Raw genomic sequence first — 14,815 nt, 5'->3', positions numbered from 1 at the left:
ATATGTAGAAAGCTGAAACTGGATCCCTTCCTTACACCTTATACAACAATTAATTCAAGATGGATTAAAGATTAACATGTTAGACCTAAAACCATAAAAACCCTAGAAGAAAACCTAGGCAATACCATTCAGGACACAGGCATGGGCAAGGACTTCATGTCTAAAACACCAAAAGCAATGGCAACAAAAGCCAAAATTGACAAATGGGATCTAATTAAACTAAAGAGCTTCTGCACAGCAAAAGAAACTACCATCAGAGTGAACAGGCAACCTACAGACTGGGAGAAAATTTTTGCAATCTACTCATCTGACAAAGGGCTAATATCCAGAATCTACAAAGAACTCAAACAAATTTACAAGAAAAAAACAAACAATCCCATCAAAAAGTGGGCGAAGGATATGAACAGACACTGCCCAAAAGAAGACATTTATGCAGCCAAAAAACACATGAAAAATGCTCACCATCACTGGCCATCAGAGAAATGCAAATCAAAACCACAATGAGATACCATCTCACACCAGTTAGAATGGCAATCATTAAAAAGTCAGGAAACAAGGTGCTGGAGAGGATGTGGAGAAATAGGAACACTTTTACACTGTTGGTGGGACTGTAAACTAGTCCAACCATTGTGGGAGTCGGTGTGGTGATTCCTCAGGGATCTAGAACTAGAAATACCATTTGACCCAGCCATCCCATTACTGGGTATATACCCAGAGGATTATAAATCATGCTGCTATAAAGACACATGCACACGTATGTTTATTGCGGCACTATTCACAATAGCAAAGACTTGGAACCAACCCAAATGTCCAACAATGATAGACTGGATTAAGAAAATGTGGCACATATACACCATGGAATACTATGCAGCCATAAAAAATGATGAGTTCATGTCCTGTGTAGGGACATGGATGAAGCTAGAAACCATCATTCTCAGCAAACTATTGCAAGGACAAAAAACCAAATACCGCATGTTCTCACTCATAGGTGGAAACTGAACAATGAGAACACATGGACACAGGAAGGGAAACATCACACACCGGGGACTGTTGTAAGGTGCAGTGGGGGAGGGATAGCATTAGGAGATATACCTAATGCTAAATGACGAATTAATGGGTGCAGTGCACCAACATGGCACATGTATATATATGTAACAAACCTGCATGTTGTGCACATGCACCCTAAAACTTAAAGTATAATAATAATAATAATAATAATAATAATGATAATAAAAAGGAAACCACTGTCACAGTTTTTGATTAGTATCAGTAATTATTACCACTGAAGGCTAGGCAAACACCCCTCTTGAGAGAAAAAGGTTGATTGAAAGCAAGGTAGACGCATTTCTAGAAACTCTTGAAAGCAGGTGTGCATGGGGATTTCATCTCTCTCTATATTGCCATTGTAATGACTTCTGGATGAAGATTACACTATTCTCCAGGGCCAGCAAAGCTGTGAAGTAGGCATCTGTCTTAGTCCATTTTGTGCTAGTATAACTGGATACCACAGACAAGGTAATTTATAAAGAAAAGAAATGTATGTCTTGTAGTCCTCGAGCCTGGGAAGTCCAAGATTATGAAGCTGCATCTGGTGAGGGCCTTCTTGCTGCCTCATAACATAGGAGGAGCTATCATACGGTGAGAGAGTGTGCCTGAGAGAGAAAACCAAACTCATCCGGTTATCAGGAAACCACTCCTGTGATAATGGCATTAATCCATTCACGAAGACAGAGCCTTCATGACTTACCAACTCTTACAGATTCCAAAACCCACCTCTCAACACTTGCATAGGGGATTCAGCTTCAACACATGAACTCTGCAGGACACATTCAAACCACAGCAGAGACCAACTGGATTCTTTCAGTGACACCTACGTGTTCAGTCTCTGGTGTTCCTCAGGGAACATAGCTTTGTTTAGCCCATGGGCCCCTTGTAGTGGTTTTGGTAGGGCTCCCTTCCTCTATATTCTTGGCCACACCAAGCTATTACACTTTACTCATTGCCAGCCAATTGCTCTGTTTTTTTCAACAATGTTCTCGGATACGAATTGCTCCATAAACTAATTTAGTCAAATTCTGGCTCCCTTGAAGAAACAGTTTCTGATGTCAGTGCTTGTTCTTTCTTTTGGTTCCAGGAGAACTCCTCCCAGTTGTTTCAGCCCCTAGTTCTCTCCTGCAAACTCACAGACCTTCAGTTTAACCAGTATCTTGAGCCTCCCCTCAATTACCTTTTGGCCAAAATCTCAACTGTTCCTGAGAGTACCTTTAGGTTTGAGTACCTATTTTAATCTCTGATGCAATTGAAGTCAGTCCCTTTCAGAAGAAATTAGGAGGTGTTTTATGGCCTCTTTCTACCACCAGGCAAACATCTCTGTTCTATTAGCTGACCATTTTTTAGGGGAAAAACAGAAGACTAGGATCCTCTCTATTTCCCTCTCCTGGCATAGAACCCACTGCCTCACGAGTCTGGTCATGAGTGATCAGGGCTCCATTATTCTCAACACACTGCATACAAGACAAAATCCCTATTTTATTAGTGGGTTATGAGAGGTGGGTGGAAGCAGGGGATCCCCACCTCTCAGCTACACTAGCCCAGAACTTAGCCCCCACAATAGGTAGCTGGGAGCTTTTGTATTTTTCATCTTTTTTTATTCTTTATTCTGGATTTTTTTCCTACATTCTACATGTGATTACATATCTTCAGCAATTGACTTTTTAATTTTAAATATTGGATGTTCAATTCTACCATATTCTATTTAATTCATTTTTTTGGATCTCAATTCCTCATTAAAATTCTGTCTTCCATTTCCTTAAATTTTTCTTTGTTTTCTTTCACATATTTATGAAGTTCTTATTTGCTTATTCCCTCATTTATAGTCTTTATTATCAATCACATTTATCTGCCTCATTTCATATCTGCTTTTAATGTCTGTATTTTCTCTTGATTACCAGTCACATGTCCTTTTCCCTTTGTATGTGTCAATTTTTATTATATCTTGGACAACATTGTGTATAAAATAACTGTAGAGGCTGAAAATGATGTTGTTCTTTTCCTAGAGAGGGAAATGATGTTGTTTTTTTTCCTCCCTCTGTTAGGCAGGTAATGTGAAGGGATGATCACAAGTCATAGGTCCCTCAGAATTTAAGTTGGGACAGGGCTTGGTTTCACCTTTAATTAAAACCTTTACCACTTTTTTCAAATGTTTTAAGTTCAAGATCCATCACTTTCTCTTTTCCATTTGGGACTGGCCCTCCTGTATCTTCGTTTAAGAGTCTGATGGTTCTGCTTCTCTCTTCCACCATGAAATTACTGCCCTTTGGAACTTGAGAGTTTCATTCTTTGGCATTCTGCTCCACACAGATTTGAAATATGGCAGCTATTATAAGGGGGAAACTTAACTGTATACTTGTTACTTATCACTTCCTGTAGTGTGACTTTGTCTCCTAAGCACTGACAGGCTTCAGTTGATTTCAGTCCTGAGTCTTTCTGAATCAGCTGTTACACTCTTAGCCTATCTCAAAACCCAGCAAATGCCCATACGAGAAACTAGCCACGTGTTTGGAGTTTATCTAGTTTTGATTGGTCAGTGTCAGCATATGTGGCTGTCAAGGTCTCCACTGGTTTCTCTTTGTCCTAATGGAGTTCTACTTTCTATGGTGAGCCTAATCCTCAGCCCATGCATAGAATCAGCACATGTCCCTAGAAGAAAAGTGGTATCCAACCGCAGCTCACATAGGAAGAACTCGACCTTCTCTGATATTTGCATCTACTTACTTAGTCCTTTTTATTTTATTTTCATGTCTCTCCATTGTGTTTTGAAATATGATCTTGATCATTTACATTTGTCCATTTGTTGGAGTGTGAATGATAGCTTTTCACTATCTACTCTGTCCTCCTTAAAAGAGAAGTCACAAAAAGTTGAATATTAATAAGTTAGAAAGTCATATCAAGAAATCACTTGAATAAGAAGCCATTTGAAAATAGAGAAAACTGTCTTGTTGCTTCTTACATCATCCTAAATACTTTTTTTGGAAAAAATGCTAGTCTTCAGATTACCTTAGAATATACCTATACACACACACACACACACACACACACACACACACACACACACACACGCTCTCTCTGTCTCTAAAGGAATTCTGGTAAAGTTCATGCTGAAGATTCACTGGGATGCTTCAGAATACGTAAAAAATTACTTCCTTAATTTAGTTAAGATATTTAAGCACCCACTTTACTTAGACGCTCAGATTCATGTTTGTTCTTTAAACATTGATGGATCATACTTCTGTTACTCTTATATGCAGAGGATTTGCCAGAACTGGAAACTGTCTTCCTACAGAGAGGAATGGCAAAGACACGCGGTGTCCAGTTAGGTTTCACTCAGAGAAAAATGTGCTTTAAATGGTTAAGTGGGAGTCCTTGAGCTAGTTGAAGTTTTGAGTGTGCTTTCAACATTTTTGGTAGAAAAAACCTCTCTCCTATTTATTAATAATTTTTAAACACCTTATGGCAATTAATACTGTAATTAATTTAGAAAATCCTAATTTTAGAAGAGAATATTTTGATAGTATATAACAGCAAAGAATGTGTAATGATAGGAAAACTGGTGAAAAAAGATAGAATACTTTATAGCAGAGTAAATGAATGGTTATAGAAGGTCTTCTCTGATTTCATTTGGAAAACTATTATAAGATATGTTTCATTCAAACTGAAAATTTTAAAGCATTAACACACATTTGTCAGTACTCCTTTTAGAAATATAGTCCTCACTTAAAAAGAAATTCTATTTATAGCATATATCTTACATTAGAAATAGGCTTCAAAATTGTACACAAATGTTTCTCAAAGTCATTCTCTCATTCTTAGTTATTATGCTTAGATGCAGATATAATTTTTAGATTCTACTGACCCCATCAACTGGCTAAAAGGAAGCAAACATTTTCTTTCAAATATAGAAACCTGTATCAGACAGAAGAGAAGAAATCAAAGAAAACCAAACATAAACAATACGTAATTTGCTGTCAATCTATCAAATATCCCATATTCTCTTTAAGCTCTATCCAAACATATTTAGTCTCTTTTTTATTAAATTCACATATAATAGATTACATTTTGAAAGGCTATGTTGTGATATTACATAACTTTAATTTTTAATTTTTCTTCAATTTTTTTTATTTTTTCCTAATTTGTACCTTATTATTTTTGCTATGTTGATTCCAAAACTAGAATCTATACTAATCACTAAATTTCTGCAAGACCCTAGAGCATAAGTCATATATACAATAGTTCCTAATCTAAAGGAATTATAATCTAGCCAACAAGACAAAGATCTAGTAAGGTAACGATATAAAGTAATGCATTGTCATTGTGAAATGGGAGGTGTCTTGTATATACACAAGCATATTTTTAAGAAAACAGTTTAGTAATTAAGAGTTAGAAAAAAATAGGAGACACAACTCTTAACTTCCAATTGGATTATAACCACTTTCACTTAAAGACCTCTGGAGAAGCCCCCTATCTCCAGTATTTAAGGAGTATAAGGCTAGCAGTAGTCAGACTGACAGGTTTTATGCTCCTAGCCATCCAATGAGGAGGCCCAACCACCAAGACTAAGACCACAGCAGCTGCAGGCATTATTCTTCAAAAAGCTATTCATCTCATCCAGAATCTTCACCCTACTCGAGGCTGCCCTGATGGATTCACGGAGCATATGTCATCAAAACACTTTTCCAAGCAGTCCTGGTTTTGCTATAAGAAACCCAAGCTTGCATTTAAATAGCCTTATTCTATGCTTCTTAAGAGGAACTGTACTCATCACATAAATACAGGCCCAGATTTGTGAGCTAACTCCTAGTATCCAATTCAGGAGGATTTCCCCAGACATATTTACCACCACAAAATACTGTAGGAATTAAGTAGTTAAAATTGAAACATACATCAGATCTCACTGTATTATGGGAGACATGATACAATTTGGGCAGCTTATTAATCTTTCTGTTCTGCCACTATTGTTAGAAGTATGGGTGGCAGATGCTGGAATGTTTGAGAGCTTTATTAGAATGTTTTCTTTAATTAAATCGAGTGGTCACCATATCACTTTCTGGATAGTCCAAGATTGTGACCAGACATAGAATTCAAGGGAGAAGAAAAATAATTCCTTTGTGCAGTAAGTTTGGCAATTGGGTATAATCTTGTGCCAGTGCACAGACTGCTTCTTTGAAAATAATTGATTAGATAATCCAACTGGGGCCCTTCTTTTTGCACCTTATGCCACTCTGATTTAGGAGTGCATAGATATAGTTATCAAAAATCTGGGTCTCATTTTATAAGCTAAGCCTTTTAAAAGTTGATGAGCAATAGCAAAATAAGAAAAACTATAAGACTGGGAGCCTTGTATTAAATAATAATACACGTACATGTGCATGTCTCCCCATGTAATTCATTCCATTTGAGATACATATCTCTAGTTTCTTTTCAAAGCTGAGTCATTCTTGTAAATATATCAAGACAGCAAAAAGAAATTGCCAGTTTTATATTGGCTAATCCCTCTAACAAACAAACCCAATATCACAGTGGCTTATCATAGTAATTGTTTAATTTTTTATTCATACAACTTCTACTGCAGGTGTTCCAGTGTGAGTGGCATCCTTTGACAACATCCACCATGAAATGATGCAGGGATTCAGGATACTTTTATGTATGGTTTTGCCACCTCCTAAAACCTGGGAGTCCTGCAGGGATGTGGATTCTTCCTCTAGATGTTTCCAGGAGAGGCCAGCCCTGGAAATGCACACATTATAATTGCCCACATTTCACTGGTCAGAACTCAGTTACATGGTCCCACTTAACCACAATGAGACTAGAAATGTAGTTTGGCTATGTGTCCAGGAAGAAAAGAAAGGATCTGGTGAGCACATAGTTTTGATTTTAGCACTAGTAATTTAATACTGTTTTATAACAAATGAAAATATTTTCAGTGCTATTTTTCTAAATAGGTGCTGTTTTTATCAGCTTCTTATGTGTTTATCTACTTGGTGTTCTTTCTAAAACTTAATTAAGCTTAAGAGAAGAATGGAGTTAGTTTATTAGTGCTATACCCATGAGCTTTAAAAGCAAAGGGAAACTACTTTGGAATGTAAAAGTGAGTCATAAAATATTATCTATTGGCCCCCAAAAAGTTGTTTGATATGAAAAAAATAATTTGTGTGAGGACTAGTTCTATGCATGTCTCCCCATGTCATTTCAGTATAAACATATTCTTGATATTGGAATGCTCCCCTGTAGGGTTAAATTTGCAACTCCTTTCTGGCCACTTTGTGTGTTAATTCAGATTTCTCCTATTTTTTAAATATGCTCACTTACTTTTGTTGCCTAATATAAACAAGTAAAAGCAATATAAAATATTATTTAATAATTTAAAAATACTTAGATTAAACATTTTCATAATAAACTGGCAACTCTGGTTACATATTATTTTAGACACTACATTTGACACAGTTTGGCTGTGTCCCACCCAAATCTCATCTTGAACTGTAGATCCCATAATTCCCACATGTTGTGGGAGGGACCCTGTGGGAGATAATTGAATCATGGGGGTGGTTTCCCCCATACTGTTCTTATGGTAGTGAATAAGTCTCATGAGATCTGATGGTTTTATAAGGGAAAACCCCTTTCACTTGGTTCTCATTCACTCTTGTCTGCCAACATGTAAGATGTGCATTTCACCTTCTGCCATGATTGTGAGACTTCCCCAGTCACATGGAACTGTGAGTTCATTAAACCTCTTCTTCTTTATAAATTACCTAGTCTCAGGTATGTCTTTATCAGCAGCATGAAAACAGACTAGTACAGTAAATTGGTACCAGTAGAGAGGGATGCTGCTGTAAAGACACCCAAAAATGTGGAAGTGACTTTGGAACTGGGTAACAGGCAGAGGTTGGAACAGTTTGGAGGGCTCAGAAGTCAGGAAAATGTAGGAAAGTTTGGAACTTCCTAGAGACCTGTTGAATGGCTTTGACCAAAATGCTGATAATGATATAGACAATGAAATCCAGGCTAAGGTGGTCTCAGATGGAGATGAGGAACTTGTTGAGAACTGGAGTAAAGGTGATACTTGCTGTGTCTTAGCAAAGAGACTGGTGGCATTTTGCCCCCACCCTAAAGATTTGTGGGACTACAAACTTGAGGGAGATGATTTAGGGTATCTGGTGGAAGAAATTTCTAAGCAGCAAAGCACTCAAGAGGTGACTTGGGCACTGTTAAAAGCACTCAGTTTTAAAAGGGAAACACAGCATAAAAATGCAGAAAATTTTCAGCCTGACAATGCAATAGAAAAGAAAAACTCATTTTCTGGTAAGAAATTCAAGCTGGCTGCTGAAATCGGCATAAGTAATGAGGAGCCAAATGTTCATCAACAAGACTATGGAGAACATGTCTCCAGGGCATGTCAGAGACCTTTGCGGTAGCCCCTCCCATAACAGGCCTGGAGGCCTAGGAGGAAAAAATGGTTTCATGGTCCAGGCCCAGGGACCCAGCACTGTGTGCTGCCTAGAAACATGGTGCCCTGTGTCCCAGACACTCTAGCCATGGCTAAAAGAGGCCAAGGTACAGCTTGGGCCATGGCTACAGAGGATGCAAGCCCCAGGCCTTAGCAGCTTCCATGTGGTCTTGAGCCTGCGGGTGTACAGAAGTCAAGAATTGAGGTTTGGGAACCTCCACCTAGATTTCAGAGGATGTGTGGAAACACCTGGATGTCCAGGCAGAAGGTTGCTGCAGGGGTGGGACCCTCATAGAGAACCTCTGCTAGGGAAGTGAAGATGGGAAATGTGGGGTAGAAGCCCTCAAACAGAGTCCCATTAGGGCACTGCCTAGTGAAGCTGTGAGAAGAGGGTTATCATGCTCCAGACCTCAGAATGGTAGATCCACTGAAAGCTTGCACCATGTGCCTGAGAAAGCTGCAGACTCAATGCCACCCCATGAAAGCAGCTGGGAGAGAGGCTGTACCCTGCAAAGCCATAGGGGCGGAGCTGCCCAAAACCATGGGAACCCACCTCTTGCATCAGCATGACCTAGATGCAAGACATGGAGTCAAAGGAGATCATTTTGAAACTTTAAGATACAGCTGCCCAGCTGGATTTTGGACTTGTATGGGCCTGTAGTCCCTTCATTTTGGCCAATTTCTCCCATTTGGAATGGTTGTATTCATCCAATGCCTGTACCCCCATTGTATCTAGGAAGTAACTAACTTGCTTTTGATTTTGTAGGCTTATAGGTGGAAGGGACTTGCTTCTCTCGACTGTAGACTTTTGAGTTAATGCTGAAATGAGTTAAGAATCTGAGGTACTGTTGGGAAGGCATGATTGGTTTTGAAATGTGAGGATGTGAGAATTGGGAGCAGCCAGTGGCAGAATGATATGGTTTGGCTGTGTCCCCAACCAAGTCTCATTTTGAATTATAGCTCCCATAATTCCCACATGTTGTGGAAAAGACCTGGTGGGACATAATTGAATCATGGGGGCAGTTTGCCCCATACTGTTCTTGTGGTAGTGAATAAGTCTACCACAGATCTGATGGCTTTATAAGAGGAAATCCCTTTAGCTTAGTTCTCATTATCTTTTATCTGCCACCATGTAAGACGTGCTTTCACCTTCTACCATGATTGTGAGGCCTCCCCAGCCACATGGAGCTGTGAGCCCATTAAACCTTTTTTTCTCATAAATTACCCAGTCTTGGGAATGTATTTATCAGCAGCATGAAAATGGACTAATACCGCACTTATCTCACTTGGATTCAAGAGGGAGATCATTTTTCTGATGACTGCTTTTGAGATGAGAATGTTTGTGTGTATGTGAAAGCCAGACCAAAGACATTCCCTGGAGAAATTACGTTTTTTTTACCCTGTTTCTCTTCTTTTTAATTTCTTTTTGAGAACTCCTAAATGGTAGAACTTATGCAAGCATAAGTGAAAATGTGACTATTATTTTCTGTATTATTAATTTTCCTTCCTAATTTTCCTACCAAGTGCCAGCATCTTTTGTTTACAAGGTGCTTTGTGTGGCATCAATTTTGATAGTCATCTTCAACAGCTACATATGCTCATACCCAAAAACCTGCTTCCAAGTCACATATTTAAAGAGAAGTACAAAAATATTTTCTGGAATTAAAACTGTCTTGTATCCAGTGAATCCTGGTCAAAACAAACAAACAAAAAATGCAAAGATCACAAACAGATCGTATCAAAGAATGAAGAGAAGAGACGTTATATACCTGTCTATTTAATATAATAGCTATCTTAGGCTATATATTGTCAGCCACTGGCTATTAAATCATCAAAAAAAGTGCTCTTATTTACAGTACAGGTGTAAAAAAAAAATCTGGATTTAAACCCAAAAGGTGTCAAAAAGCTTTGCCAAGCAAGAAAGTATTCAGCTGGTTAAAATGAGAAGTTCTAGGCTGCTCTGATGAAATGCCCCAGGAAGCTTTGTGTAGAGTGTTTAAAAAGCAAACAGTTTTCCTAATTTTCAGAGCAATGCTATTTGGACTTAAAAGGCACTCTTCCTTGTGGAAAACACACATAAGATATACAAACCTGTTCTGACCACCAATCTGGCAGGACACAACTATGCATTCTGGGAAAGCTTTCATGGATACGTAGGGGGAAAGGGAATTTCCTTCCACCCATTTGAATGTTTAATAAATTGACTCCATAAAATCAACCAACAATAGACAGAGTAACAGGAGAAAAGGTATACAAGTTTATTACATATGCATGTGTAGAGTAACTACACAAAATATGAGACTCAAAGAAGGGCCAGATGACTAAGTTGTATACCATACAGAGTAGAATAAGGACTTAGGGCTCCTGGGGAGCCTGGGGATGGGTTGTGGGAGGGTGGGGGGAGGAAACACATGGAGAGCAAAGGCTGTCTTGTTATGCAGATGAAGTCTCACAGGTAGCAGTCCTCAGAGTGAATAGAAGGCAGCTTGTGGTTAACAGTTTCTCTGTCAGAACTTCAAAATGTCAGACTTAAGTCTCCTTTTTCTGTGAGTTCATCTTTCCTAGATCTGGATAAGGTGACCTCAGAGAAAGCCTCTGTTTGTATCTCCTGTTTGCTTTACTAATGTAGATAAACATACATTTTTTCTTTTAACAAAGCAATAGCTTTTCAAATCTATTCAGCTTCTCTGAATAAACAACTTGAAATATACCAAAAAAGTATATTTTGGAGAGGCATATTTTGGATTCCAACAAATACAATAGCAAGGACGTATTTTCTGACCTAGAACTTGTTTTTGTCCTTCTTAGGTCTACCATTCAGAGTGTTGGGGCTCAGAAAACAATATCCCAAAATGAAGGCCTCTGCAATACCTTCAGAAGCAAAAGGTTTTTCTCTGACCTCTTCCTGCCCTCCTTTCTCTCCATCCCATTCTTCCCCAAGGCTAGCCATAGAAATGAGAAACACTCTTCTCCAAGGCAGGTCATAGAAACCTGAACTCCTTTTCTCCAAAGACAGCTATAAAACTAACAATATTAATCTAACCTTCCCTTAGCCCTATCCATGTAAAAATGGCCAGAAAGAAATTCTCTGACCTACCTTGTTTGATGATAGGTTATAAGACTCCCATTCTGGAAAGGTTCCTGCCCCATACCCAGAGGGAAGGAATGCTGCTCAGAGAAGCCAAGAGGAATCTAGATGGACACGCCTTGCTGGGTTCCCCCACGCAGACTATTAGCATTAGATCACACACTTTTTGTCCAATCATATTTCTACATGGCTGTCCATACTTGGTTGAACCAAAGCAAAAAATAGACCATTTCCCCTGTGTCTTTGGGTCTTCATTCTGAGGGCTCCTGGGTACACATGTTAAATAAATTTGTATGCCTTTTCTTCTATTAATCTGCCTTTTGTGAATTTATTTTTCAGCAAACCTTCAGAGGGCCAGGAGGAAAGCTCTCCTGTAGCCCTTGCAAAGGGAAAAATGGTGATAAGGAGTAAATTTTACTGAATACTCCTGTTTTATTTTGTTTGGCACCTATCAGATGATTTGCAGGGGGCAAGTAGAGTTTTCATGATAATAGTATGATTTCTCTCCAGAGTTCTTGAAAGTCACTCTTTCCAGCCTAATATGCTGCCTTCACCATCTCAAAATGAATAAAAGAAATGAAACAAAACAAATCAAAACAAAACAAAACGCAAACATCATGCACAAAGCTCTGAGCTCCAGCTCCTTTAAAGACCCTACAGGTTTGTACACACAGCAGCAGACCTTTGGAAATCACTTCACGGACTTACTCCAATTAGCTTAAACATGTGAATCAGGACCGTCTTTTTCTCTTTCCTTGAATGTTGCCTTCACTAATAATATCTACATTATCAGTCAAAGGGAGTTATTCATTACATATTTTTTAGACATGTCTTTCATCTCTCATCACTATTCACGGTCTCTTTTTGACATGCTGATTCTACGCCCTTTTTTCTGGTTCTTTGGTCTTTCTAAAAACATTTTTTTCTCCATTATTTCTTATAAAGAGATCTGGATTTCACCTGATGTTAGAACAGCTTCTGCTACTCAAACATTTGAATGAACCTAACTCTAACATGAAAAGCTGTATTGAGAATAAGATGGGATTCATGAAGAAATCTATGGAGATAGGGGAGGCAGCATATTTTTATATTTTCATCTACTTTATAGATGTTTTCTTGACATTTTTGTGAATAAAAATGAGAAGGATGAAATATAATACCTTCAAGATAAAACTGCACTGAGGTTAACAAGAGCTCATTCTTCTTTTGGCTTTGGCTATAATATTTGAAGTAAGCTGGAATTTTAACAGTGGTTTATCTCATACTGTTTCTATTGTGAGACCTCACCAGTGATTTTTCATTTACTAACTAGAAGAAGAATGTGGTCTTTTAAGTATTTATCAGACAGTAACTAGATAAGAAGTTGATATTATTTTCTCAATAGGATTCATTCTACATTAGTTATTTTCTGCTTTAAATAATGCATTACATGAAAAGATAATTTGTTTTATTTAGACACTTGCAATTTTGATTACACACACACACACACACACACACAGACAATATAATATGCAATGACATAGTTACTTGACGTTTCTGAGAAACTAAGGTACAAATATATAAAATTCCAGACCAGTTCACAAACTTGCCAAAGTACAAGTCTTATAAATCCAAGAGGAAGATTTTTTGAGAGGATTTATTAGAAAAAAGGTATTTTCCTCCTGCAACTTAAATCGAGAGAAAACAGCTTCAGCTGGACCTTGCAGGAAGATTTTCTGTGATCCTTACAGCTATGAGACAGGGTGATCCCCACCTGGCCCTGAATGGAAACTCCAGATACAAAGAACTAGGCGAACCCAGGTGTAGGCAACAGAGCAGAGCCTGGACTCGGCTGCCCTTGGTTAGGCTGGGACAAAGAACACATTTCCTTGTGGACTGTCTTAAGTCCCTTCCAAAACACATCTGGAAAAGAGATGTAATCTCAACAGAAGCTGGAGGTGGACTTCAAGATTCCCAGGATCTTCACGTAAATGAGTCCAGCCAGAAGAACCACTCACTGAAATCAGGAGATTGCATACCAGAGATCAGAGGTCCTCAAAGAACACATGAGGGAGTCCATGACCTCCTTCAAACTCTGCTGGCTCTGAGGGCACAAAACCAGACACAACAGTTCTAGATAAAGCCAAGACAAGGCAGAGATGCTCCCTATGGACTTCTGCCCCCCATCCCCTGGAAGAGCTGCAAACAGCAGCCAGGCAGGAGAGAAGGAAATGAGAAAGAAAGACGGGCAAAACCAATACTCCTGCCTCAAGGCAGTTTCCCCTAAAGAATGAGAGAGAGTAATCTTACCCTTAAATGGAGTTGTAAGCTTAATTATTATATAAAATACATAATAATATATGCCCTACATATATATAGATCTTACATGTGATGTACGATTATATAAGACAACGAAGTAGATATTGCGACAATGTGACAATATTATTAACGATATTACCTTAGGAAGGAAAAGAAAAGTCACAGACTAGCGATTGAAGGAGAAGTTCTCTTACCTGATTTTTTTTTATCTAACATATTACATAAATGTAATATTTATGGGATACGGTGTAATATTTCAATACAATATGAAATGATGAAATCAGGGTAATTACCACATCCATCACCTCAAACATTTATCATTTCTTTGTGTTAAAAACCATTCGAAATCTTCTCTTCCAGCTATTTGAACATATACAATAAATTATTGTAACTGTAGTTACCCTACAGTGCTACACAACCAATCTATTTCCATCTTTTCCTCCCCCTACCCTCTCCCACCTCTGGTATCTAGTATTCTACTTTCTACTTCTGTGATCAAATTTTATTAGGTTCCACATATGACTGAGAACATGTGGTATTTATCTTTCTGTGTCTGATTTATTTCACTTAACATAACATCCTGTAGGCTTACTCATGTTGCCACAAATGACAGGATTTCATTTTTTAATAGCTGAAAAGTATTCCATTGTGTATATATACCACATTTTCTTTATTCATCCATTGACAGAATAGGCTGATTACATATCTTAGTTATTGTGAATAGTGCTGCAATAAACATAGGACTACAAATATTTCTTTGACATACTGATTTCCTTTTCTGTGGATTTGTATCCAGTAGTGGGATTGCTGAATCATATGATAGTTCTACTTTTGATTTTTTGAGGAAACACCATACTGTTTTCCACAACGGTTGTACTAATTTATGTCTCCACCAACACTGTATAAGAGTTCCTTTTTCTTTGCATCAT

General features: G+C 38.1%; 1 annotated feature.

The window, feature by feature from the left end:
- Positions 10,652–11,273: an enhancer, noted in NCBI's record as "OCT4-NANOG hESC enhancer chr13:22943848-22944469 (GRCh37/hg19 assembly coordinates)". NCBI's record gives its function as "activates a minimal SCP1, AML or CMV promoter by ChIP-STARR-seq in primed H9 embryonic stem cells {active_cell/tissue: H9 hESC(primed)}" and the evidence as "EXISTENCE:reporter gene assay evidence [ECO:0000049][PMID:30033119]".

The sequence above is a fragment of the Homo sapiens genome, chromosome 13 (assembly GCF_000001405.40).
Source record: "Homo sapiens chromosome 13, GRCh38.p14 Primary Assembly".
NCBI lineage: Eukaryota > Metazoa > Chordata > Mammalia > Primates > Hominidae > Homo > Homo sapiens.
Note: the sequence above shows the minus strand (reverse complement) of the source record. Positions and strands in the feature narration are given on the sequence as shown.